The 27,549-nt window shown below is 41.6% G+C and overlaps 1 protein-coding gene, 1 long non-coding RNA gene, 1 other non-coding gene and 1 pseudogene across 12 annotated transcripts in view; 3 read left to right on the top strand and 1 right to left on the bottom strand.

The window, feature by feature from the left end:
- CLYBL (citramalyl-CoA lyase) overlaps positions 1-27,549 on the bottom strand; it is a 302,755-nt gene that overhangs the window by 118,049 nt on the left and 157,157 nt on the right. For all 10 annotated transcript variants that reach the window (NR_104592.2, NM_001393361.1, NM_001393360.1 and 7 more), the window contains exon 2: positions 18,386-18,572. Coding sequence is in view for 9 of the 10 variants with exons in the window: in NM_001393361.1 (NP_001380290.1) it covers positions 18,386-18,572 (187 nt within the window). In the remaining variant the exon portion in view is untranslated. The remainder of the gene's footprint in view (positions 1-18,385; positions 18,573-27,549) is intronic.
- Positions 1-27,549, top strand: part of CLYBL-AS3 (CLYBL antisense RNA 3) — a 216,296-nt gene that overhangs the window by 165,770 nt on the left and 22,977 nt on the right. Inside the window, exons 2-3 of the long non-coding RNA NR_120421.1 lie at positions 16,048-16,184; positions 18,481-18,592. This is a non-coding gene — a long non-coding RNA (CLYBL antisense RNA 3). The remainder of the gene's footprint in view (positions 1-16,047; positions 16,185-18,480; positions 18,593-27,549) is intronic.
- LOC124903263 (small nucleolar RNA U13) lies at positions 7,239-7,342 on the top strand. The gene has a single exon (XR_007063962.1). It is a non-coding gene; the product is annotated as a small nucleolar RNA U13 (small nucleolar RNA).
- Positions 7,413-7,539, top strand: LOC124900342 (uncharacterized; annotated as a pseudogene).

Here is a 27,549-nt window from a genome sequence, read left to right as displayed (position 1 = left end):
AAATGACACCGCTGTTTTTTGTTTGTTTTTTTTTTAAAAAAGACACTATTTATGTAGCATTTCAGAGTTTACAAAGGGCTTTTCTGTTTGAGCCTCACAGCTGGCCCTGTGGTGGGTGGTGTGTGTTTCATTATCACCAACCTCATGGGATAGATTAAAGAAACAGAGGCTCATGAGATTACAGGACTCAAATTCCCTGGCTAGCAAGTGTCAAAACTGGGAAATTTAAATGAGTTTTCTGTTGCCAAGCCCTCTACCCTTTCCACTAACTCAGACTGCTGGTATCAAATTAAGTTGCCCACAAGTGACATCCTAGAATATTAACTTAGATTCCCAAAAAAAGGCCTTCCTCAAATCACAATTCTTTGGTTTAGACTCCAAATAGATCTCTACTCTTTACAAGCCAAATTAGAAAAAAAATGAGATTATGTTCATATAAGTTGCTTCTATGCTTCAGAAGGAAGCCGTTTCTCAGGAGCCATTGGCGGATATGCCTCACCCCAACACAGAAACATACCTAGAAATGAAAAGTCATAGGATGTAGAAAACAGGACACTGATCACAAGGGAAAAGTGAAGGGAATCCCCAGAATGGTGGGGAAGGGAGAGTTCAGGATTCCAGTTGTGCCACTGCCTGAAGGACCAGCAGCCCAGACTTCAAGGGACTGGATGGTTCAGGGAGAGACTTCTCCAAGAAATGAACCGATAGAATACTGGATGCTTCTGAACATGCGAAGGGGAGATTCAGACAATTAGTCATGAAGTGGGTATTGACAGAAAACTAAGCCAGAGTCACCCATAAAGGGAAACCCATCAGACTAACAGTGGATCTCTCAGCAGTAACTCTACAAGCCAGAATAGAGTGGGGGCCAATATTCAACATTCTTAAAGAAAAGAATTTTCAACCCAGAATTTCACATCCAGCCAAACTTCACTTCCAAACTAAGTGAAGGAGAAATAAAATCCTTTACAGACAGGCAAATGCTGAGAGATTCTGTCACCACCAGGCCTGCCCTAAAAGAGCTCCTGAAGGAAGCACTAAACATGGAAAGGAACAACCGGTACCAGCCACTGCAAAAACATGACAAATTGTAAAGACCATTGAGGCTAGGAAGAAACTGCATCAACTAACAGGCAAAATAACCAGCTAACATCATAATGACAGGATCAAATTCACACATAACAATATTAACCTTAAATGTAAATGGGCTAAATGCTCCAATTAAAAGACACAGACTGGCAAATTGGATAAAGAGTCAAGACCCATCAGTGTGCTGTATTCAGGAGACCCATCTCACATGCAGAGACACACATAAGCTCAAAATAAAGGGATGGAGGAAGATCTACCAAGCAAATGGAAAACAAAAAAAGGCAGGGGTTGCAATCCTAGTCTTTGATAAAACAGACTTTAAACCAACAAAGATCAAAAGAGACAAAGAAGGCCATTACATAATGGTAAAGGGATCAATTTAATAAGAAGACTAACTATCTTAAATATATATGCACCCAATACAGGAGCACCCAGATTCATAAAGCAAGTCCTTAGAGATCTACAAAGAGACTTAGACTCCCATACAATAATAATAGGAGACTTTAACACCCCACAGTCAACATTAGACAGATCAACGAGACAGAAAGTTAACAAGGATATCCAGGAATTGAACTCAGCTCTGCAACAAGCGGACCTAATAGACATCTACAGAACTCTCCACCCCAAATCAACAGACTATACATTCTTCTCAGCACCACATCACACTTATTCCAAAATTGACCACATAGTTGGAAGTAAAGCACTCCTCAGCAAATGTCAAAGAACAGAAATTATAACAAACTGTCTCTCACACTACAGTGCAATCAAACTAGAACTCAGGATTAAGAAACTCACTCAAAACCACTCAACTACATGGAAACTGAACAACCTGCTCCTAAATGACTACTGGGTACATAACGAAATGAAGGCAGAAATAAAGATGTTCTTTGAAACCAATGAGAACAAAGATACAACATACCAGAATCTCTGGGACACATTTAAAGTAGTGTGTAGAGGGAAATTTATAGCACTAAATGCCCACAAGAGAAAGCAGGAAAGATCTAAAATTGACACCCTAACATCACAATTAAAAGAACTAGAGAAGCAAGAGCAAACAAACTCAAAAGCTAGCAGAAGGCAAGAAATAGCTAAGATCAAAGCAGAACTGAAGAAGACAGAGACACAAAAAACCCTTCAAAAAATCAATGAATCCACGAGCTGGTTTTTTGAAAAGATTAACAAAATTGATAGACCGCTAGCAAGACTAATAAGAAAAGAGAGAAGAATCAAATAGACGCAATAAAAAATGATAAAGGGGATATCACCACCGATCCCACAGAAATACAAACTACCATCAGAGAATACTATAAACATCTTTACATAAATAAACTAGAAAATCTAGAAGAAACGGATAAATTCCTGGACACATACACCCTCCCAAGACTAAACCAGGAAGAAGTTGAATCCCTCAATAGACCAATAACAGGCTCTGAAATTGAGGCAATAATTAATAGCTTACAAACCAAAAAAAGTCCAGGACCAGACGGATTCACAGCCAAACTCTACCAGAGGTACAAGGAGGAGCTGGTACCATTCCTTCTGAAGCTATTCCAATCAATAGAAAAAGAGAGAATCCTCCCTAACTCATTTTATGAGGCCAGCATCATCCTGATACCAAAGCCTGGCAGAGACACACACACAAAAATAGAACTTTAGACCAAAATCCCTGATGAACATCAGTGCAAAAATCCTTAATAAAATACTGGCAAACTGAATCCAGCAGCACATCAGAAAACTTATCCACCATGATCAAGTGGGCTTCATCCCTGGGATGCAAGGCTGGTTCAACATATGCAAATCAATAAAGGTAATCCAGCATATAAACAGAACCAAAGACAAAAACCACATGATTATCTCAATAGATGCAGAAAAGGCCTTTGACAAAATTCAACAGCCCTTCATGCTAAAAACTCTCAATAAATTAGGTATTGATGGGATGTATCTCAAAATAATAAGAGCTATTTATGACAAATCCACAGCCAGTATCATACTGAATGGGCAAAAACTGGAAGCATTCCCTTTGAAAACTGGCACAAGACAGGGATGCCCTCTCTCACCACTCCTATTCAACATAGTGTTGGAAGTTCTGGCCAGGGCAATCAGGCAGGAGAAAGAAATAAAGGGTACTCAATTAGGAAATGAGGAAGTCAAATTGTCCCTGTTTGCAGATGACATGATTGTATATTTAGAAAACTCCATCGTCTCAGCCCAAAATCTCCTTAAGCTGATAAGCAACTTCAGCAAAGTCTCAGGATACAAAATCAATGTGCAAAAATCACAAGCATTCTTATACACCAATAACAGACAAACAGAGAGCCAAATCATGAGTGAACTCTCATTCACAATTGCTACAAAGAGAGTAAAATACCTAGGAATCCAACTTACAAGGGAAGTGAAGGACCTCTTTAAGGAGAACTACAAAGCACTGCTCAGTGAAATAAAAGAGGATACAAACAAATGGAAGAACATTCCATGCTCATGGATAGGAAGAATCTTATCGTGAAAATGGCCATACTGCCCAAGGTAATTTATAGATTCAATGCCATCCCCATCAAGCTACCAATGACTTTCTTCACAGAATTGGAAAAAACTACTTTAAAGTTCATATGGAACCAAAAAAGAATCCGCATCGCCAAGTCAATCCTAAGCCAAAAGAACAAAGCTGGAGGTATCACGCTACCTGACTTCAAACTATACTACAAGGCTACAGTAACCAAAACAGCATGGTACTGGTAGCAAAACAGAGATACAGACCAATGGAACAGAACAGAGCCCTCAGAAATAATACCACACATCTACAACCATCTGTTCTTTGACAAACCTGACAAAAACAAGAAATGGGGAAAGGATTCCCTATTTAATAAGTAGTTCTGGGAAAACTGGCTAGCCATATGTAGAAAGCTGAAACTGGATCCCTTCCTTATACCTTACACAAAAATTAATTCAAGATGGATTAAAGACTTAAATGTTAGACCTAAAACCATAAAAAACCCTAGAAGAAAACCTAGGCGATACCATTCAGGACATAGGCATGGGCAAGGACTTCATGTCTAAAACACCAAAAACAATGGCAACAAAAGCCAAAATTGACAAATGGGATCTAATTAAAGAGCTTCTGCACAGCAAAAGAAACTACCATCAGAGTGAACAGGCAACCTACAGAATGGGAGAAAATTTTTGCAATCTACTCATCTGACAAAGGGCTAATATCCAGAATCCACCAAGAACTCAAACAAATTTACAAGAAAAAAACAACCCCATCAACAAGTGGGTGAAGGATGTGAACAGACAATTCTCAAAAGAAGACATTTATGCAGCCAACACACACATGAAAAAATGCTCATCATCACTGGCCATCAGAGAAATGCAAATCAAAACCACAATGAGATACCATCTCACACCAGTTAGAATGGCGATCATTAAAAAGTCAGGAAACAACAGGTGCTGGAGAGGATGTGGAGAAATAGGAACACTTTTACACTGTTGGTGGGAGTGTAAACTAGTTCAACCATTGTGGAAGACAGTGTGGCGATTCCTCAAGCATCTAGAACTAGAAATACCATTTGACCCAGCCATCCCATTACTGGGTATATACCTAAAGGATTATAAATCATGCTGCTACAAAGACACATGTACACGTATGTTTATTGTGGCACTATGCACAATAGCAAAGACTTGGAACCAACCCAAATGTCCATCAATGACAGACTGGATTAAGAAAATGTGGCACATATACACCATGGAATACTATGCAGCCATAAAAAAGGATGAGTTCATGTCCTTTGTAGGGACATGGATGAAGCTGGAAACCATCTTTCTTAGCAAACTATCACAAGAACAAAAAACCAAACACCGCATGTTCTCACTCATAGGTGGGAACTGAACAATGAGAACACTTGGACACAGGAAGGGGATCATCACACACCAGGGTCTGTTGTGGGGTTGGGGGAGGGGGAAGGGAAAGCATTAGGAAATATACCTAATGTAAATGACAAGTTAATGGGTGCAGCACACCAACATGGCACAGGTATACATATGTAACAAACCTGCATATTGTGCACATGTATCCTAGAACTTAAAGTATAATTAAAAAAAAAAAAAAAAAAGGAAAGCTAAGCCAGAAAAAAAAAGGCAATTATGAACTCCACCTCCATGGAAAACAATAGGTCTGGCAGAAATAGAAAGATAATCATTTATTACTATATAGTTCAGCTCTAAATAGTTTTTACACTGAATATTAACCTTACTAAAGTTAAAATATAATTGTATTGGGACAACTGGGGGATGGGCAAGGTTCACACGTGGCAGAGACAAGGTGGAGAGGGAGGAATGATAAATCCTCATTCTCCATAGTGAGGAGTCAATATATCATGCCTGAAATAGAAAAAAAAAAATTTAAGAAATGTATTATTGCCAAGCGCAGTGGCTCACGCCTGTAATCCCAGCACTTTGGGAGGCCGAGGTGGGTAGATCACGAGGTCAGGAGTTCAAGACCAGCCTGGCCAAGATGGTGAAACCCTGTCTCTACTAAAAATACAAAAAAATTAGCCAGGTGTGGTGCTGGGCGCCTATAATCCCAGCTACCGGAGAGGCTGAGGCAAAGAACTGCTTGAACCTGGGAGGCAGATGTTGCAGTGAGCAGAGATTGTGCCACTGCACTCCAGCCTGGGTGACAGAGCGAGACTCCATCTCAAAAAAAAAAAATGTATTATTTAGAAATATTGAAGAAAATGGCATATGAATAAGCCAGAACAGGTAAAAGGGATTGTCTCTGGAAAGGGGGAAACAATAATGGTTGGGGGTTGCTTTATAACTATTTGGCTTTTTAAATAATGTGTAAGAATGAATTTTAGACTAATTGTTTTAAAGTTTATAACCAAGCCTGGGCAACATAGAGAGACCCCCATCTCTACAAAATAAAAATAAAAAAATTAGCCAGGCACAGTGGCACACACCTGTGGTCCCAGCTACTCAAGAGGCTGAAGTGGGAGGATTATTTAAGCCTGGGAGGTTGAGGCTGCAGTGAGCAATGATTGAACAACTGCATTCCAGCCTGGGTGACATAGCAAGACCCTGTCTTTAAAAAAAAAAAAAAAAAAAAAAAAAAAAAAAAAAGCCAGGCGGGGTGGCTCAAGTCTGTAATCCCAGCTCTTTGGGAGGCCAACGTGGGTGGATCACTTGAGGTCAGGAGTTTGAGATGAGCCTGGCCAACATGGTGAAACCTCATCTCTACTAAATAGACAAAAATTAGCCAGGTGTGGTGGTGCACATCTGCAGTCCCAGCTACTCAGGAGGCTGAGGACAGGAGAATCACTTGAACCAGAGAGGCGGAGGTCGCAGTGAGCAGAGATCGCACCATTGCACCCCAAGCCTGGGCGACAGAGTAAGACTCTTGTCTCGGAAAATCAAAAAAAAATGTCAAAGGATGGGTACCTTGTTTTGGAATGGTTGACCATGTTCTCTGAAGTGCTATCCTACTGTAAAAATAGATACATTTCAACAAAAGTACTTTTTAATGCATTTTTGGGCTCAGTAAAATGTAAAAGAATTTTCAGCTGGGCACGGTGGCCTACGCCTATAATCCCAGCACTTCGGGAGGCCAAGGCGGGCGGATCACCTGAGGTCAGGAATTTAAGACCAGCCTGGCCAACATGGTGAAACCTGTCTCTACTAAAAATACAAAAATTAGCTGGGCCTGGTGGTGGGCACCTGTAATCCTAGCTACTCGGGAGGCTGAGGCACGAGAATTGCTTGAACCCAGGAGGTAGAGGTGGCAGTGAGCCAAGATTGAGCCACTGCACTCCAGACTGAGCAACAAAGTGAGAGTCCATCTCAAAAAAAAAAAAAAAAAAAAAAAGAGAGAATTTTCCAGAAGCAGAGGAATAACAAAAAGCAATAGGTTGAATTCTGATTTGTGAAAGAAAAATAAGGACACGGGGAATCAAATACCTATATCAGACCTAGTATCAGAATACTAAGCCTTGAGACCACTGCAAGGTTAGAGAGAGTAAATTGAGACTCCCACATTAGTAATATCTTTGACTTTCAGTAGGAGCAAACACAAATTTTCTTTGGAGGAAAACCTTCTCACTCTAAGCTCTTGGGATCTAAGAATTGATTGAATTAATTCCAATGAATATGGGTTCATGATCCTTTTGTGGTTCACAAGCATGATGATTGACTTCTCATGCTATTGTGTGAGATGTACCTCCTTCAAATCTTGCTGCAACGTTGGCACATTACAGATCTGATGTGAATAAAATATACATATGGGTTCATGCCATAAGTAAGAGTCAGCAGAAACAACAAAAAATGATTTAGATAGGTTATTTCAAAGAGGGCTCATGAGGCTATGAAACCAAGAACTCTTAATGCTATGACCAAAGATTGAAGTTCTCTATAGAATGCCATAGCACTCAATAATGTTATGTTTTCTTGAGGCATATAAGACTTTGCCACTCATAATCATGACATAATAATCCATGATTGTTGATGAGGGAAAGTAAATAAGTGTCCCAAAGTTTAATCAAAGTTTCTCTTCTTTAGATTAAAAATTATTTATGGCCAGGCACGGTGGCTCATGCCTGTAATCCCAGCACTTTGGGAGGCCGAGGCGGGCGGATCATAAGGTCAGGAGATCAAGACCATCCTCGTTAACAAGGTGAAACTAAAAATACAAAAAATTAGCCAGGAGTGGTGGCAGGCGCCTGTAGTCCCACCTACTCTGGAGGCTGAGGCAGGAGAATGGCATGAACCCAGGAGGCGGTGCTTGCAGTGAGCTGAGATCGCACCACTGCACTCCGGCCTGGGTGACAGAGCAACACTCCGTCTCAAAAAAAAAAAATTACACCCCAAAGTACTGAATTTATCAGATTCATAATATACCAAGCAGATATGTAGAAGAACCAAATAGAACTTCCAGATATAACAAATATAATAATTAAAATAAAAAACTCAGAGGATGGCCCAGGCATGGCGGCTCACACCGGAAATTCCAGTACTTTGGGAGGCCGAGGCAAGTGGATCACCTGAGCTCAGGAGTTTGAGACCAGCCTGGCCAACATGGTGAAACCCCATCTCTACTAAAAATACAAAAATCAGCTGGGCGTGGTGGTGCATGCTTATAATCCCAGCTACTTGGGAGGCCTAGGCAGGAGAATTGCTTGAACCCAGGAGGCGGAGGTTACAGTGAGCCGAGATCATGCCACTGCACTCCAGCCTGAGCCACAGAGCAAGACTTCGTCTCAAAAAAAAAGCAAAACAAAAACCAAAAAACAAAAAACCTCAGAGGATGGGTTAAACGGATTAGACACAATTGAAGACAGAATTAGAAAACTGGAAATTAAACATGAAGAACTAACTGAGAATGTAACACAGAGAAACAAGAAGAAAATATGAGAAGATATTAAGAGAGAAGGAGGATAGAATGAAGTTTCCAACTACGTGTACTCAGCATCTCTGAAGGAAAGAATAGAAAGGAGAAACAGAGGCCATATGTGAATTGCTAATGGAAATTTTACAAAATGGATAAAAGACATGAATCTACAAATATAGGAAACACAACTTATACCAAGCAAAAAGGAAGCAAAAATGTAAGGGAGGAAGGGAGGGAGAAAAAGAGTAATAAATCCACACTTTGTCACATTTTAGTAAAACTTCAGTATACCAAGGGAAAAAAAAGGACTTTTGTTGAAATGTATCCATTTTTACAGTAGGATGGCACTCTAGAGAACATAGTCAACTGTTCCAAAACAAGGTACCCATCCTTTGAAATTTTTTTTATTATAAACTTTTTTCCCCCCAAGACAGAGCCTCGTTCTGTCACACAGGCTGGAGTGCAATGGTATGATCTTGGCTCGCAGCAACCTCCACCTCTGAGGTTCAAGCAATTCTCCTGTCTTAGCCTCCTGAGGGTGGGACTACAGGTGCGCACCACCACGCCCAGCTAATGTTTATATTTTCAGTAGAGATAAGGTTTCACCATGTTGGCCAGGCTGATCTCAAACTCCTGACCTCAGGTGATCTGCCTGCTTTGGCCTACCAAAGTAATGGCATTACAGGTGTGAGCCACCACACCCAGGCCATAAAGACATTTTCAAAAAAAACAAAAATGTAAACTTTATGATCAACCAACTTTCGCTATAGGGAAATTCTGAAAGTTGCACCTGAAGAGAAAGAAAACTGACCCCAGGAAGATCTGAGATACAAAACAAATGATAAGCAAAAAAAAAGTGGGAAAATATGTAAGATAATATAAAGAAATACTGTAGATAGCAATAATATAAAATGTATAGGATTAAAGAGAGATAACTAAAATATTGAGCAAAAATAACGCATACAGTGCGAGAGAAATAACTGGATTTAAAGTTTTCCAAGGTTCTTGAGCTGTCCAGAAGAAAGATATGGATTAATTTTAGGCATTGTTAAGCGTGCTTAGTAAAATTTCAAGAGTAACCAATAAAAATTACAAACACAGTCCTAACTTATAAACTAAGAGAGGAAAGAATGAACTAAGAAAATAAACAAACTGGCCAGCCATGGTAGATCACACCTGTAATCCTCGAACTTTGGGAGGCCGAGGCGGGTGGATCACCTGAGGTCAGGAGTTCAAGATCAGCCTGGCCAACATGATGAAACCCCCATCTCTACTAAAAAGACAAAAAATTAGCCAGACGTGGTGGCAGGCACTTGTAATCCCAGCTACCCAGGAGGCTGAGGCAAGAGAACTGCTTGAACCCGGGGGGCAGAGGTTACAGTGAGCCCAGATCATGCCACTGCACTCCAGCCTGGGCAACAAGCAACAAGAGCAAAACTCAGTCTCAAAAAATAAAAAATTTGGCTGGGTGCAGTGGCTTATGCCTGTAATCCCAGCACTTTGGGAGGCCAAGGCGGGCAGATCACGAGGTCAGGAGATTGAGACCATCCTGGCTAACACAGTGAAACCCCATCTCTACTAAAAATAGAAAAAATTAGCTGGGCATGGTGGTGGGCGCCTGTAGTCCCAGCTACTTGGGAGGCTGAGGCAGGAGAATGGCGTGAACACAGGAGGCGGAGCTAGCAGTGAGCCAAGATCGCACCACTGCACTCCAGCCTGCGTGACACAGCGAGACTCCGTCTCAAAATAAATAAATAAATAAATAAAAATAAATAATAAAAAATTTAAAAATATATATATATTTTAAAAGGAAAGAAAGATGAAAAAAGAAACATGAAACAGGTGGGAAAACATTATGAAATATAATGGTGTAATTAAAGTGAAACTCGTCAGTAATTACATTAAAAGTCAATGGATTAGCCGGGTGCAGTGGCTCATGCCTGTAATCCCAGCACTTTGGGAGGCCGAGGCGGGTGGATTGCCTGAGGTCAGGAGTTCGAGACCAGACTGGCCAACATGGTGAAACCCCATCTCTACTAATAATACAAAAATGAGCCAGGTGTGGTGGCAGGCACCTGTATTCCCAGCTACTTGGGAGGCTGAGGCAGGAGAATCGCTTAAACCTGGGAGGCAGAGGTTGCAGTGAGCCAAGATCGTGCCATTGCACTACAGCCTGTGCAACATAGTGAGACTACGTTTCAAAAAAAAAAAAAAAAAAGACAATGGATTAACATTCTAGTTAAAAGAGAAATTGTCGGCTGGGCATGGTGGCTCATGCCTGTAATCCCAGCACTTTGGGAGGCCGAGACGGGCAGATCATGAGGTCAGGAGATCCGGACCATCAACATGGTGAAACCCCATCTCTGCTATAAACACACAAAAAATTAGCCAGGTGTGGTGGCAGGCGCCTGTAGTCTCAGCTACTCGGGAGGCCGAGGCAGCAGAATGGCGTGAACCCAGGAGGCAGAGCTTGCAGTGAGCCGAGATCATGCCACTGCACTCCAGCCTGGGTGACAGAGCGAGACTCCATCTCAAAAAAAAGAGTGAAATTGTCAACATGGATATAGAAATTTTTTAAAAATAGGAGACGTAATTAAAATACAAAGATATGGACACTTTGAAAGCAAAAGGATGAAAATGTTACACTGAGCAAATGCCAACCTAAGGAAAGTTGATGTTGCTGTATTACGATCAGACCACATAAACATTCAAGCAAAATGCATTATAAGGGATAAAGATGGTCAGTACATAGAAATAGATGAATCAATATGCCAGGAATATGTAGTAATTCTAAATGTGTATATACCTAAAGACATTGGCAAATTTTCTATTGGAGAATAGATTTCAACTAGACTCTCTCAATTTTTGACACATCAAGCAGATAGAAGTCGGTAAAGATTTGTATATTTGAATAACATAATTAACAGGCTTGGTCTAATAGAAAATATATAGAACTCTGCATCTAGTAAGTAGAAAATATACTTTCTTCTTCAGCACATGGAACAGTTACAAAAAATGGCTAATGTAGTTGGTCATGAAGCAGAATGACAAATTTCAAAGAATCATCACCATTCACATCACATTTCTCTAACCACCCACCATGTCACTACGCTAGAGCTCAGCAACAAAAAGATAAATTGAAAAAAACAAAAAACAAAAAACTCTCCTACACTTGGAAATTTAAGTCCTTGCTACTCAAGCTATGGTTTGTGGCCCAGTCTCAGTCCCTGAAACTTTACCATGCCACTATGATTAAGTGCAACCTTGGAGAGTAACAGTTTAGAAACTTCTGTAGCACCTGACATTGCTGTCACCCAACCAGCATTTAATTTTTATAGCAATTCATTTGTATTGTATTTTACAAAAGTATCAGTCCACAATGGATTGGATAACTAAACTGGTTCTTCATCATAGACTTTGGGAAGCACTCTTTTGTATGTTATATTTCAAGCAAGAGACCAAATAAATGACAATTAAAAAATACTCAGAACTGGCCAGGCACGGTGGCTCGCGCCTGTAATCCCTGCACTTTGGGAGGCCGAGGCAGGATCACCTGAGGTCAGGAGTTTGAGACCAGCCTGGCCAACGTGGTGAAACCCCATTTCTACTAAAAATACAAAAATTAACTGGGCGTGGTGGCAGGCGCCTGTAATCCCAGCTACTTGGGAGGCTGAGGCAGGAGAATTGCTGGAACACAGGAGGCAGAGGTTGCAGTGAGCCGAGATCATACCATTGCACTCCAGCCCGGGCGACAACAGCGAGACTCCTTCTCAAAAAAACAAAAACAAAAAACCCCACTCAGAACCAAATGATTAAAAAAGAAATATGTTCTCATAGACCTATTTTGTTGGATCATAGCTATTTACTTTTTGCCACTCTCAACAACAGCTTGTGTCTCCTCCAGGTTGGGGATCTGCCACCATTTTTGTCTCCCTCCTGCCTGCCATGGCAACTAGTTGAGTAGGTACTCAGTATTTATTTAAGTATTGATTAGTATTTACATTTAAATACTTAAATACTTAAATAGTAAATAAATTTAAAGAATTGTTTAAATATCCATTCAACTGAAATGGCAGCTATGGAATCATGCCTCTTCCTCCTCAGTGCCTACTTTCTTGGCCTCACCCAGTGTCATGGAGTTACATCAGAAATCGGTGCATTACTTGGCATATTTTTACTGTGGCCCAGCAAGCAGTGGCTTAGACAGCCCCACACCTCCTCATGCATTTAACAATGAAAAGGAGGAGATAAGAGGGAGTGGAGGCAGTCTTTTTTATCATCCGTGCTTGGGAAGGTGAGCTGGTAGTGCCATCCTTGACATGAAGGAGCTACTTAAACACAAATTGGATTAGCAGGACAGGATTAGAGCCTGCTGGAAGGTATTATATACTTATAAACTGCTTTGTGGAAACTCCTATTGTTTTCATTATAAGCCCATACTTCACAGAGAGTCAATCAAATGAAATATGGAATTAGTCTATTAATAAAAAAATGAGATATAAAATGAAGTGACATTTTAATAATGCCAAGAAAGCTGAATTAGGCAATAATGATTCAGTTTAGCCAGACTCTAACTAGATAATCTGAAATTAAGAGTTTTAATATGGATTTCTTCTTACTGAGAAATAAACTCACTAAAAATGGTCTCTATGTCCTCCATCAAGAGAATAATATTCAAATAAGAAACATGATTAAGAGGTGACTTTGAGAAAGAAAAGAGAATATGAGATATTTGAGAAGTTTCAGGCTTATCTGGACTTTCCAGTGAATTGAAGCTCCTAGGTCTAAATGGATGATAATCCCAGTCCCAGAACACTGAAAGAGTCTGCAGATGGGAACACAGAGCTCCTGTCAGTTACCTTGGAGAGATAATGGAGAACAGGAAGCTGACTAAAGATAAAAAGAAGCCAAGGCACTCACTTTCCAAGAAAGACGAAAAACGTGGGTTAGGACATACACGAGCAGGTGAGCTGGAGGCTGGTTCCTGGCAAAAATTCTAGGAGACTCAAATCTTGGTTCTGCTATTTAATGGCAATGTGACCTTGTACATATTTCAAAACATTGCTATAAGGATTAAGATAACATATGTAAATGGGATAAGGTATGTAAATAACAATATATGTAATACAGCACTTGTAACAGAAAATTCTCAGGCTCACGCCTGTAATCCCAGCACTTTGGGAGGCTGAGGTGGGCAGATCACCTGAGGTCAGGAGTTCGAGACCAGCCTGACCAATATGATGAAACCCCGTCTCTACTAAAATTACAAAAATTAGCCAGGCGTGGTGGCATGCGCCTGTAATCCCAGCTACTCGGGAGGCTGAGAAAGGAGAATCTCTTGAACCCGAGAGGCGGAGGTTGCATTAAGCTGAGATCACACCATTGCACTCTAGCCTGGGCAACAAGAGCAAAACTCTGTCTCAAAAAAAAAAAAAGAAAAGAAAAGAAAAGGAAGAAAGAAAATTCTCAGTACAGCATTTTTGTATTTCCAACAGTTTACAAAGAGGTGGTAGCAATGAGGTACTGACTTGGGTTTCCTCAAGAACAAGTCTCATTTACCTGACCTCACTTTGCTGGTTAGGTGGAGGTATTGAGGGAGAAGGTATTTTTGGACAAGTAGATTGGGAACATATCTTCATTTTGAAAAGGCATTTGATGAAAATATCATAATATCTGCGTGAAAAGATTGGATTTTAGGAGAGTTAGGTTTCTGAATAAGCACATTCATGGTATAATTCACGAACTGGGTTGGGCGTGGGGGCTGGGTGCGGTGGCCTGTAATCCCAGCACTTTGGGAGGCGGAGGTGGGCAGATCACCTGAGGTCAGGAGTTGGAGACTAGTCTGGCCAACATGGTAAAACCCCATCTCTCCTAAAAACACAAAATTAGCCAGCCACGGTGGTACACACCTGTAATCCCAGCTACTTGGGAGGCTGAGGCAGCAGAATCACTTGAACCCAGGAGGCGGAGATTGCAGTGAGTGAGCCGAGATCGCACCACTGCACTCCAGCCTGGGCAACAATAGCAAAACTCTATCTATGAAAAAAAAAAACGTGCATGAACTGGATATCTCTGTGCTTCAATTTCCTTACTTGTAAAATGAATGTAATCATAGCACCTCAATGGCTTGTCATGCAAATTACAGCGCCCAGCATATCGTCAGCACTATATACGTCTCTGTTCAATAAACCGGAAAAGAAGTTTTTAGCGGCATGCTTGTGCAGCACTTGGCCCCAACCTCTTCAAAATTTCCCTGAAACTTGTTAAATTTTCATATGATGTGCATGTCAAATTCTCAGATAATATAAATGTTGGATAATGAAATCAAAATCCAAAAAGACCTTGACAGGCTAGGGCTATGATGTGAAATATGTCAGATAAAATTAAGTCCTAGATAGAGATTTTAAGAAAAAAAAAAAAACAACTTTTTTTTTTTGAGACAGAGTCCTGCTCTGTCACCCAGGCTGAAGTGCAGTGGGGCAATCTCGGCTCACTACAACCTCTGCCTCCCAGGTTCAAGTGATTCTCGTGCCTCAGATTCCCGAGTAGCTGGGATTACAGGTGTGTGCCACCACTCCTGGCTGATTTTTTGTATTTTTAGTAGAGATGAGGTTTTGCCATGTTGCCCAGGCTGGTCTTGAACTACTGGCCTCAAGTGATCCGCCTGCCTCGGCCTCCCAGAGTGCTGGGAATACTGATGTGAGCCACTGCACCCGGCCAAGATTATTATTATTATTATTATTATTTGTTTTTTGGTTTTTTTTTTTTGAGATGGAGTCTTGCTCTGTCACCCAGGCTGGAGTGCAGTGGCACGATCTCGGCTCACTGCAAGCTCTGCCTCCTGGGTTCACACCATTCTCCTGCCTCAGCCTCCCGAGTAGCTGGGACTGCAGGCGCCCGCCACCACGCCCAGCTAATTTTTTGTATTTTTTAGTAGAGATGGGGTTTCACCATGTTAGCCAGGATGGTCTTGATCTCCTGACCTTGTGATCTGCCCACCTCAGCCTCCCAAAGTGCTGGGATTACAGGTGTGAGCCACCGTGCCCGGCCTATTGTTATTATTATTTTAAACAAAGACCAGCTTGGCTTTCCAGAAGTTTCTATGGATGAAAAAGAGAATTTTGGCCGGGCATCATGGCTTATGCCTGTAATCCCAGCCCTTTGGGAGGCTGAGGCAGGAGGATCACGTGAGTCCAAGAGTTCAAGAACAGCCTGGGCAACACAGCAAGACCCTATCTCTACAAAAAATAAAACAATTAGCTGGGTATGGTGGTAGGTGCGTATAGTCCCAGCTGCTTAGGAAGCTGAGGTGGGAGGACTGCTTGAGCCCAGGAGTTGGAGGCTGCAGTGAGCTATGATGACACCACTGCACCCCAGCCTGGGCAACACAACGACCAAAAAAAATTTTTTTAATGAAATTTTAGCTGACTCTGAGCTTAGGATGCCTAAAACAGTATGTCTAGCACATTGCAATGTCCAGCTGCATTAGGAGAATGAAAATGTCCTAGTAAAGACTCGATGTGGACATATGTACTTCAAGATGGTGGGCAATCATTAACTCTTCTTTCCCTTCTCCTCCTCAGGTTTCCCCTAAGTGGTAGCACAGCTGCTACTACTATGGAGATAAGGATGGCTTCGGAACCCAGATAAACAATAAGGAAATGTAAAGCAGAAATAGACTATATTTCCAACTCATTTGAGTGGCAGAAAACATTCTCAGGTGGGTATTGGAGGACAACCTCAAGATTTGTGAAGAACTATAATTAGAAGTTTATCAGGGCACCTAATGGCTCACTGTGCTACAATGCTACAATAAATTCCCCTCTAATCATGATTACTACAGGATTTATCTATTTCCTATAGGAAATCAAGCTACTCCCAGGTACTTTATCAACTTTTTTCTCATAATAAACCCTGTCCCTGACAAAAGAAGATATTGTCATCCCTACAGTACAGATAAGAAATTGAGGCAAAGAAGTAAAGTGAATTGCCCTGGGTCACACAGAACTGGAATTACAAGTTAGCATCGAATCTTGGAGTGCACTACATGAGTTATGGGAAGGAGCATACTGAAATCATATTACAGCCTTCAGAAAAAGGCCTATTTACTTTAATCTCTGGGAGAAGGATTAATAGTATTTTCCTTGGCACATGCCAAAGATGTTGAGTAGACATTTTAGATTCCACAGGCTCATTCTAATCCTTTTCCAAATACTTGGAAAGCCTTAGTTTGACCATTAGGAAGATACTGGAAATTAAATTTTTTCTTTAAAATTAAGGCAAATATTTGCTAGAAACTCCAGAAAAAGCAATTAATCCAGAAAATTGTATAGTACAGCCACGTTGTTTCAGGTCACCTGGCGCAAGAAACTTTCAAGTAGGCATAAATCCAGAGAGCCAGCTCCCTCATCCCCCGCCCCACGACCCATTCCCAGCCCAACCTCATTGTCTAGGGCCTGGATAGATAAAGGTCAAGCGAACTCATGTTTTTAACTTTAAAAGTTCCATGCAAATGTAAGTTATTGTTATAATGATTTATATATCTCAACTAATCATTGAATGAATCCATGTTCATTAGAAAAACATAGAAAACAAAGTTGAGCAAAACAAAATAAAAAGCAACTACTATACAGTCACGCAGTAAGAGTCTTTTGTACCTATTTACAAATTGGTTATTTTGTTTTTTTAAAACTTTTTTGGAGACAGGGTCTCACTCTGTTGCCCAAGCTGGAGTGCAGTGGCACGATCATGGTTCACTGCAGCCTCAAACTCTCGGGCTCACGTGATTCTACCACCTCAGCCTCCTGAGTAGCTGGGACTACAGGTACACGCCGCCACACCTGGCTAAATTTTTTTTTTTTTTTGGTAGAAATGGGGTTTTGCTATGTTGGCCAGACTGGTCTCAAACTCCTGAGCTCAAGTGATGCTCCTATCTTGGCCTCCTAAAGTGCTGGGATTATAGGCATGAGCCACCTCATCCGGCCTACAAGTTGGATATTTTCTAAGGCTCATCTCTTTGGTCAGGCCATGAGGAAATAAGCCAGAAGCTACAGCCAACCACTAAGGTTCTATGTGTCATTTCCCTTAAATTAAGTAGAGAAAATGGTGATTTATCCATGAAAAACTATGTTTTATTCTCTTGACACGTATCCCAGAAGAGAAAAGACCATTACTCAGTATACCTGGTGGTAAGAAGAAGAAAGAACTTCCTAGTTGCATTTTATCAGTCTGAAAATCTTACACCACAATTTTAGAATTATCTAATTCAGTGGTCCCCAACCTTTTTGGCACCAGGGACCTGTTTTGTGGAGGGTAATTATTCCATGGGAGGTGGGGCGGCGCAATGGTTTCGGATGAAACTGTTCCACCTCAGATCATCAGGCATTAGTTAGATTCTTACAAGGAGCGTGCAACCTAGATCCTTCACGTGCGCAGTTCACAACAGGGTCGTGCTCCTTGAGAATCTAATGCCACTGCTGATCTGACAGGAGGCAGAGCTTAGGCCATAATGCTTGTTCACCCACTGCTCATCTCCTGGGTTCTGGCCCAGTTCCTAACAGGCCTGTATTGTGGCCTGTACTGGTCCATGGCCTGGGGATTGGGGACCCCTGATGTCACTCATTTACCTAGACCGGCAAACATCATGGCCAAAATTGATTGTCCATCTTTTTATCTATACATACACATAGTCTCATCTACTGAAGGTCGTGATTTTAAAATATATTTTGGTGGGATTCTTCCTTTCTCTCAGAGAAAAGAGATACACATTTAGAACCTATATAAAAGCAGATCAAAGAATTGTTAATAATCAGCAAAAGATGAGTGTGGTAGAATCTTTCCAAATAGCGGGCAATGTCACTATTCGGAAGAGAAGCAAATTTCAATACCTTTCTTTTTCTCATACTAAAATCATGCCATTACCTTTTTGTTTGCAGCCACTCCATCCTCACAGTCGAGCACTGCACAATCTACATTCAGGGATGGAATCTTCTTTATTTTCTTTTCATCATTTCCAGGTACATAAAGCACTGCCCTCCGGGGGATGTACTTGTGATGGGATGAGGAACTATATCCAAGTCTGGGGATATCAGCTGCTAGAGACGCTTTCCTGCAAGACACGTGATTGGGGTTAGTCCAGAATGAGATTTCTGTATTTATAAACTTGTGAAAAACTATATTTTAATGCAAAATTAAAATAGAACACATGGATAATCTTTTTTTATTTTTATTTTTTTGAGACAGGGTCTTGCTCTGTCGCCCAGTTTGAAGTGCAGTGGTGTGATCTCGGCTCACTGCAACCTCCACCTCCAGGCTCAGGTGATCCTCCCACCTCAGCCTCCCCAGTAGTTGGGACTACAGGTGTGTGCCACCATGCCTGGCTAATTTTTTGTATTTTTTGTAGAGATGGGATTTCGTCATGTTGCCCAGGCTGGTCTTGAACTCCTAGGCTCAAGGGATCCATCTGCCTTGGGCTCCCAAAATGCTGGGATTATAGGCATGAGCCACCATGCCTAGCTGGATAATCTTTTAAAATTATGGTAGAATACAATCACACATAAAAACTAAGAAAACAATAATAGCAGAGATAATCAATGAACTAAATGTTATTTTGGCTGAGGTTTAAAAAATAGATAGGACTGTTTACTGACATCTTCTGAGACAAAGAGGAGGGTGTATGTATTTCTTCTTGGAAAACACTTCCAGTATTGTTATACTGTCTAGATAGCATCTATGGAGAAAAAGGAAAGAAAATATCTATCCAAAAGGTACTAAACAACAATACTATCTACAATTATACCTAAAAGTAAAAAAGTAGAAAAAAAAAACTAACGAAGTCTATGGCCCTTGCCCTGCCAATACATCTTTTAAAGGGTGAAAATTGGTGATTCACATCCAATTTTAACAAGACAAGATAGACTGGTTCTTTTTAAGTGAGTAGGAAGGACAGTGAATGCCTCTATAATTGTAGGCAACTTAATTACTGGTAACTTTGGATTCTTCATCTATAAAAATAATACTCAATTTGTAGGTTGTTGAGAAGATTAAGTTAAAGGAAATAATGAACATGAAGCACTTAGCCAGAGCCTGGCAGATATTTTAGCTACTTGAAATGGTCGTGGGTGTAGCAGGAGTACCAGCAGCTGCTGTTGTTATTAATGGAGAATCTCTAGCTGTCAGTAGCCCCTGCCTGCTTCTAAACTATGCTCTTTCTTTCCCTTGCCTATCATACCAAGTTCAGTCTCTGGTAGAAATAAAAAGTGTTGGCCAGAAGCTCCTTTGGCTTACCACCACCCTTGCCTGTTCCATAGTTTATCCCGTGAAAACCATGCTTTAGCTCATACGATATGGTAAAGGAAGATGAAATCAGCTCCCATAATCAGGACGAGCGATACAATTTGCGGGGCCCGGTGAAAATGAAAATGCAGAGGTCTTTGTTTATAATTTATTAAGAACTTCACAATGGCAACAGAAGAATATTATATCAGCACTAGGTATGTCTAAGAGCACAAATTACATGTCCATGAAGCCAACCCTGCCCATAAGAGATGAAGTTCTATGTCATGAAGACTGCCAATTAGGCCTTAGGCCATGTGTGGTGGCCCACGCCTCTAATTCCAATACTTTGGGAAGCCAAGGCAGGCAGATCACTTGAGCCCAGAGTTTGAGATCAGCCTGGGCAACATAGCAAAATCTCGGCTCTATCAGGAAAAAAACTCAAAAAGCAAAAATTAGCCAGGCATAGTGCATATGCCTGTAGTCACAGCTACTCAGGAGGCTGAGGTGGGAGGATTGATTAAGCCCAGAAGGTCGATGAGGTTGCAATGAGCTGTGATCGCAAAGCTGCACTCCAGCCTGAGCAACAGAGCAATACCTTGCCTCAAAAAAAAAAAAAAAAAAAAAAAAAAAAAAAGGGCCCCGCGTGGTGGCTTACGCCTGTAATCCTGGCACTTTGGGAGGCCAAGGCGGGTGGATCATGAGGTCAGGAGATGGAGACTATCCTGGCCAACATGGTGAAACACCATCTCTACTAAAAACACAAAAATTAGCTGGGTGTGGTGGCACACACCTGTAATCTCAACCACTTGGGAGGCTGAGGCAGGAGAATCGCTTGAACCCAGGAGGTGGAGATTGCAGTGAGCGGAGATCGCACCACTGCACTCCAGCCTGGCAATAGAGCAAGACTCTGTCTCAAAAAAAATAACTGCCAGTTAAGAAAAGTTAAAACCCGGCCGGGCGCAGTGGCTCACTCCTGTAATCCCAACACTTTGGGAGGCCGAGGAGGGTGGATCATCTGAGGTAGAGAGTTTGAGACCAGACCGGGCGCGGTGGCTCACGCCTGTAATCCTAGCACTTTGGGAGGCCGAGACGGGCGGATCATGAGGTCAGGAGATCCAGAATATCCTCGCTAACACAGTGAAACCCCGTCTCTACTAAAAATACAAAAAACTAGCCAGGCGTGGTGGCGGGCGCCTGTAGTCCCAGCTGCTCGGGAGGCTGAGGCAGGAGAATGGCGTGAACCCGGGAGGCGGAGCTTGCAGTGAGCCAAGATTGCGCCACTGTACTCTACCCTGGGTGACAGAGCGAGACTCCGTCTCAAAAAACAAACAAACAAAAAAAGAGTTCGAGACCAGCCTGGCCAATATGGTGAAACCCTGTCTCTACTAAAAATACAAATATCAGCCGGGCACAGTCGCGGGCGCCTGTAATTCCAGCTACTTGGGCGGCTGAGTAGCGAGAATCCCTTGAACCCGGGAGGTGGAGGTTGCAGTGAGCAGTGAGCTGAGATCGCGCCACTGCACTCCTGCCTGGGCGACAAGAGCGAGACTCCATCTCAAAAAAAAAAAAAAAAAGAAAGAAAAGAAAAAGAAAGAAAAGTTAAAACCCTGGCAAACTGATGTTTTACTCTCCCTAGATAAATAGCATGATCTTAAAAAATATATATGTCAGCTATATCTTCATGAAAACCCTGGACATCAGTAGTTAACACTATCAAATACTTTGCACGGTTGTAACATTTCACCATGATTAGTGTGCTTGTGACTTAATGTATCTCAAGAAAAATCACTGTCTTTTGGGGCCTTGCAAGTTTGTGTGGGGGCCCTCATTCCTTCTTGTAGCCGACCTTACCTTAAGGAATTCTAAAACTTGAGTCTGGGTCTTATTTTGCCACAACATAAGCACTGTATCATGTGAGGTATGGTGAGATAGAGATGGATTTTAAAAGTGTACATGGCTTACGAAACATTTCATTTAATATAAAACATATTATTGCCAGCTAATTGAAGACTGCCTGAAATATCTGTCATCGTTTTTCATTGATTGAAAATATCTGGTTTATCTAAAAACAGGGAAAAAACATAATGATGTAACAGCAACAACCACATTTTACTTATCATTCACACTGGAGACTAGAATTTGCAACATATACATTTCCCTAAAAATACCAAGAAATGTTTGGGGCAAATTCTCTGCTCATCAGGATTTAATGTAACCACACATGTGAAAATCTAAGAGAGGGGGAAGATGGTGGAGTAGAAAGCACCAGCAATCTTCCCCACCCAGACAACTGCATTAGCAAAATCTTCCTGCTGTAACTATTTTGAAACCACTTGGAATCTATTGAAGGCTTGCAACTTCTCGGGGAAGGCTTGGATATTAAATAGTAGTTAATTTTGGTCAACTTCAGCTCTTAGCAGAGCAGCAGCTACCCATCCCCCACCTCTCAGTCACATGGTAGGCAGCTGTGCCCATGTTCCTGGAGCAACCTGCACATAGCTTGAGGGAGCCAGGGTAGGCAGAAACAAAGACCCTGACCCTCCAAATATCAAGGATCTGTGCTCTGATCACTGATTGCTGGTTCTAATCACAGAAGTGCAGACAAAGAGGCTGAGAGCCACTGTTATTGTATGTCCCTCCAATGTTGCAAGCCCCTCTCCCTTGGGCTGAAGTGACCTCCAGGTAATTTAAAGGGCCAGCACCTCCCCCATTAATTTTTTGCTTTTTTCCCTTTTAGAAGCCAGACATTAAAGACTAGGACATTCAAAAACAAACACATATATATAGGGGAAAATAGAAATGACCATGGATGCCCAGAGAAAGGCTCAGAAAAGACCTGAGAAGCTGGGAGTGCTAGCTCACACCTGTAATCCTAGCACTTTGGGAGGCCGAGGCAGGGGGAATCACCCGAGGTCAGAGTTTGATACCAGCCTAGCCAACATGGTGAAACAATGTCTCTACTAAAAATACAAAAAATTAGCCAGGTGTGGTGGCACATGCCTGTAATCCCAGCTACTTGGGTGGCTGAGGCACAAGAATTGCTTGAACCTGGGAGGCGGAGGTTGCAGTGAGCTGAGATTGCACCACTGCACTCCAGCCTGGGTGACACAGTGAGATTCTGTCTTTAAAAAAAAAAAAAAAAAAAAAAAAAAAAAAAAAAGAGGTCGGGCGCAGTGGCTCACACCTGTAATCCCAGCACTTTGGGAGGCTGAGGTGGGCAGATCACGAGATCAGGAGTTTGAGACCAGCCTAGGCAACATGGTGAAACCCCATCTCTACTAAAAATTCAAAAATCAGCGGGGTGTGGTGGCAGGTGCCTGTAATCCCAGCTACTCTGGAGGCTGAGGCAGGAGAGTTGCTTGAACTCGGGAAGTGTAGGCTGCAGTGAGCTGAGATAGCACCGTTTGCACTCCAGCCTGGGTGACAGAGCAAGACTCTGCTCAAAAAAAAAAAAAAAAAAAAGAAAAAGAAAAGACTTGAGGAGACCTTACATTTATACCTCAGGCTTATATTTTCCTCAGCATACACACAGTATACAACCATCAAATAAGTAAACAAAAACAGTGAGCCCAGGGGAGGGGGAGAATCTGATTTCTAGATACCACACTGTTAGATTCAAACATTCACTTTTCAACAACAAAAAAATCACAAGACATATGAAGAAAGATGAAAATATGGCCCAGTCAAAGGAAGAAAAATAAGTCAACAGAAACGGTCCCTGAAAGAGACCTGATGGCAAAGACTTTAAAACAACTGTCTTAAAGATGCTCAAAGAACTAAAGGAAGAAGTGAAGGACATCAAGATAATGACGTATGAACAAAATGGAAATACCAGTAAAGAGATAGAAAACTTAAAAAGATACCACAAACCCCAGAACTGAAAAGTACAATAATTGAAATGAAAAATTCACTAGAGGGATTCAAAGGCAGATTTGGCAGGCAGAAGAAAGAATTAGCAAACTTGAAGAGAGGACAATGGAAATTATCAAGTCTGAGGATCAGAAAAAAGACTGAAGAGAAGTGAATAGAGCCTAAAGGACCTGTGGGACACCATCAGGCAGACACACACACACACTGTGGGAATTCCAGAAGGATAAGGAGAGAGAAAAGGGTAGCAAGAGTATTTTGAAAAGATAATGGCTGAAAACTCTCCAAATTTGGTGAAAGACTTGAATACAAACATCCAAGAAGTTAAATGAACTCCAAGTAAGATGAACTCAAAGACACCCACATCTAGACACACTAAAATCAAACTTTCAAAAGTGAAAGACTTCCAGTTCTGAAATGGTGGCATAGAAGTAAGCTGGCTTTAGTACCCACCCCTCCCCAACAGAAAAATAAAAACAAATATACAGTGCTGAAATTATCACCAGAAGGACCTCAGAACTCAAATATGAAGATGAGACAGTTCCCAGGACCCCAGAAAAAACCCTGAGCAGATGGTAAGACAATTGGATTTCTACATCCATAACAACATTCCCCACATTATGCCGATCACCAGGCATGCAAAAACATTTCCTCCAACTCAAGGTTTCTACACTGGAAAAAGTGCAATTGAGGTGGACATTCAGCTTCTCTACCATCTTGGGTTCCCTGGCAGGAGGCCTGCTCTGCCTTAATCCATGGGAAGCATCGCAAGTGCCTGAAGGGAGAAATATCCCTGAGGACAGACAGAGGCAAAGCAGGGAGGTGGGACTACCATCCCCAGCTCTGGAATCTCTGTTGTGTAACTCAGCAAAAGGAGATGCCAAATCAGAGTGGCTGTTTAGCAGTACCACACTATAGGAGGTTTGTCCCACAGATCCCCTGGGCATGGACCCCTAGCCAGCCTTCCCACCCTGCCAAGAAAATCCCCTGGGGACCTCCCCCATTCAGGAAGAGCAGCGTTCTGATAGTTTACTAAGAGCTGAGGTGAACCTGGGTTTAAGGCTCCACCTAGAGCTAAAAAGGAGGCAGTGACCCAGCAGCAAAAAGCCTCTAAGCAAATGTATCCAATAAAATACAAAAACAAGCCAGCCAGAGAAGACTAGATTAAATGAATAATCCTTCAATGCAAAGACATACACATCAACAGGAAACAACAGCAAACAGGGAATCATGATCTCCCCAAAGGGACATAGCAAGGAACCAGCAACTCACTCTAAATGAGAGGATGATATGTAAGCTCTCTAACCAAGAATTCAGAATAGAAGTTCTAAGGAAACTCAGTGATCTTTAAGATACCACAGAAAAGCAGTTCAGAAATTTATCAAATAAACTTAGCAAAGAGGTTGAAATAATAAAAAGAAATCAAGCAGAAATCTTAGAATGGAGAAATATGTTTGCAGAGCTGAAGAATTCCTTAGAGGCTTTCCAAAGAAGAATGGATCAAGCAGAGGTAAGAATCATTGAGCCTAAAGATAGGCTACTTGAAAATACATAAAGGAGAAAAAAATCTTTAAAAAATGAGAATCAACAAAGATTGCCTACAAGATACAGAAAATTACCTCAAAAGACCAAATTTGCCAAATGAGTTGGCTCATGCCTGTAATCCCAGCACTTTGGGAGGCTGAAGCAGGAGGATCACTTGAAGGCAGGAGTTCGAGACTAGCCTGGGCAACATAGTGAGACCCCCCTCTCTACAAAAAATAAAAACACTAGCAGGGCATTGTGGTGCATGCCTGTAGTTCCAGCCATGCAGGAGGCTGAGGTGGGAGGACTGCTTGAACCCAGGAGTTCGAGACTGCAGTGAGCTTTGATCACACCACTGCACTCTAGCCCAGGGGACAGAATGAGAACCTGTCTTTAAAAAAAAAAAAAAAAAAAGACTCGACTTGGTGCAGTGGCTCATGCCTGTAATCCCCGTACTTTGGAAGGCCAAGGCGGGTGGATTGCTTGAACCCAGGAGTTTAAGACCAGTCTGCGCAACATGGCAAAACCCTGTCTCTAGAAAAAATACAAAAAATTAGCCTGGCATTGTGGCACGTGCCTGTTGTCCCAGTTACTCGGGAGGCTGAGAGGGAGGATTTGCTTGAGCCTAGGAGGTTGAGGCTGCAGTAAGTTGTGATTACACCACTGCATTCCAGCCTGGGTGACACAGGGAGGAAAGAAAAAAGACAAAATTTAAGAATTATTGAGGTTCAATAGGGAGTTGAGCAAGTGCAAGGGGTAGAAAGCTTATTCAAAAAAAAAGAGAAACAAAAAACTTTCCAAAACTTGAGAAAGATATAAATATCCAGGTATAGGAAGGTTAGAGAACACCAAACAGATTTGACCCAAATAAGACTACCTCAAGACATATAATAATCAGACTCTCAAAGGTCAAGGACAAACAGAATCCTAAAAGCAGCAAGAGAAAATCAGCAAATAACATATAAAGGCACTCCAATGTGTCTGGCAGTTCTCAATGGACACCATACAGGCCAGGGGGAAGCAGCAGAATGACATTTTTAAAGTGCTGAAAAAACTGCCATCCAAAAATATTGTATTCAGCAAAGTTATCCTTCAAATATGTTTTTCCCAGGCAAATGAAAGCAGGGAGAATTCACCACCATCTTACAAGAAACACTAAATATTGAGTTATTCAATCTGCAAGAAAAAAACACTAAAGTGCAAAAAGAAAAAAAAAAAGAAAAGAAAAACATTTAAAGGTATAAAACCCATTGGTAAATTAAATATAAATACAAGGGTTGGGCATGGTGGCTCACACCTACAATTTTAGCACTTTGGGAGGTCGAGGCAGCAGGATTGCCTGAGGCAGGAGTTCATGGCAAGCCTGGACAACATAGCGAGACCTGTGAGACCCCATCTTTAAAAAAAAAAAAAAAATTAGCCAGGCATGGTGGTGCATGCCTATAGTACCCAGATACTTGGGAGGCTGAGGCAGGAGGAGGATTGCTTCAGCCCACGAGTTCAGGGTTGTAGTGACCCATGATCATTTCACTGCACTCTAGCCTGGGCAACAGATTAAGATGCTGTCTCACAAAATAAAAAAAGATAAGATACAAAAATTGACAAGCCCTTGGTTAGACCGAGAAAAAAGAAAAAGAGGGAAGACCCAAATAAATAACTTTAGAAATGAAAAAGGAGACATAACAATTGAGACCACGGAAATACAAAGAATCATTAGAGACTACTATGAACAACTACATGCCAACAAAACTGGAAAACCTAGAAGAAATGGATAAATTCCTAGACATATACATCTACCAAGATTGAACCATGAAGAAATAGGAAAACTCAATAAACCAATAACGAGTAGTGATACTGAAGCCATAATAAAGTCTCCCATGAAAGAAATCCCCACATGGCCTAATGGCTTTATTGCCGCATCCTACCAAACATTTAAATAACAAATATCAATTTTACGCAAATTCTTCAAAAAAACTGAAGAGCCAGCCTGGGCAACATGGCAAAACCATGTCTCTACCCAAAAGAAAAGAAAAAAAAAATTAGCCAGGCATGGTGGTACACATCTGTAGTCCTAGCTACTTGGGTGGCTGAGGCAGAGAATCCCTTGAGCCTAGCAGATCAAGGCTGCAGTGAGCTGTGACTGCACCGAGCTGTGACTGCACTGCTGCACTCCAGCCTGGGTGACAGGGCAAGACCCTGTCTCAAAAAAAAATTTTTTTTTTTGAAGAGGAATGAATACTCCAATACTCCCAAGCTAATTCTATGAGGCCAGCATTACCCTGATACCAAAACCAGAGAAGGACATGACGAAAAAAGGAAAACTAAGATGATGAACACAGATGCAAAAATTCTCATCAAAATACTAGCCAACTGACTTCAACAACACATTAAAAAGATCATTCACCATGATCGGCCGG

This window comes from Homo sapiens, chromosome 13 (assembly GCF_000001405.40).
Source record: "Homo sapiens chromosome 13, GRCh38.p14 Primary Assembly".
NCBI lineage: Eukaryota > Metazoa > Chordata > Mammalia > Primates > Hominidae > Homo > Homo sapiens.
The sequence above is the reverse complement of the archived record's forward strand: the minus strand, read 5'-3'. Positions and strand labels throughout refer to the sequence as shown.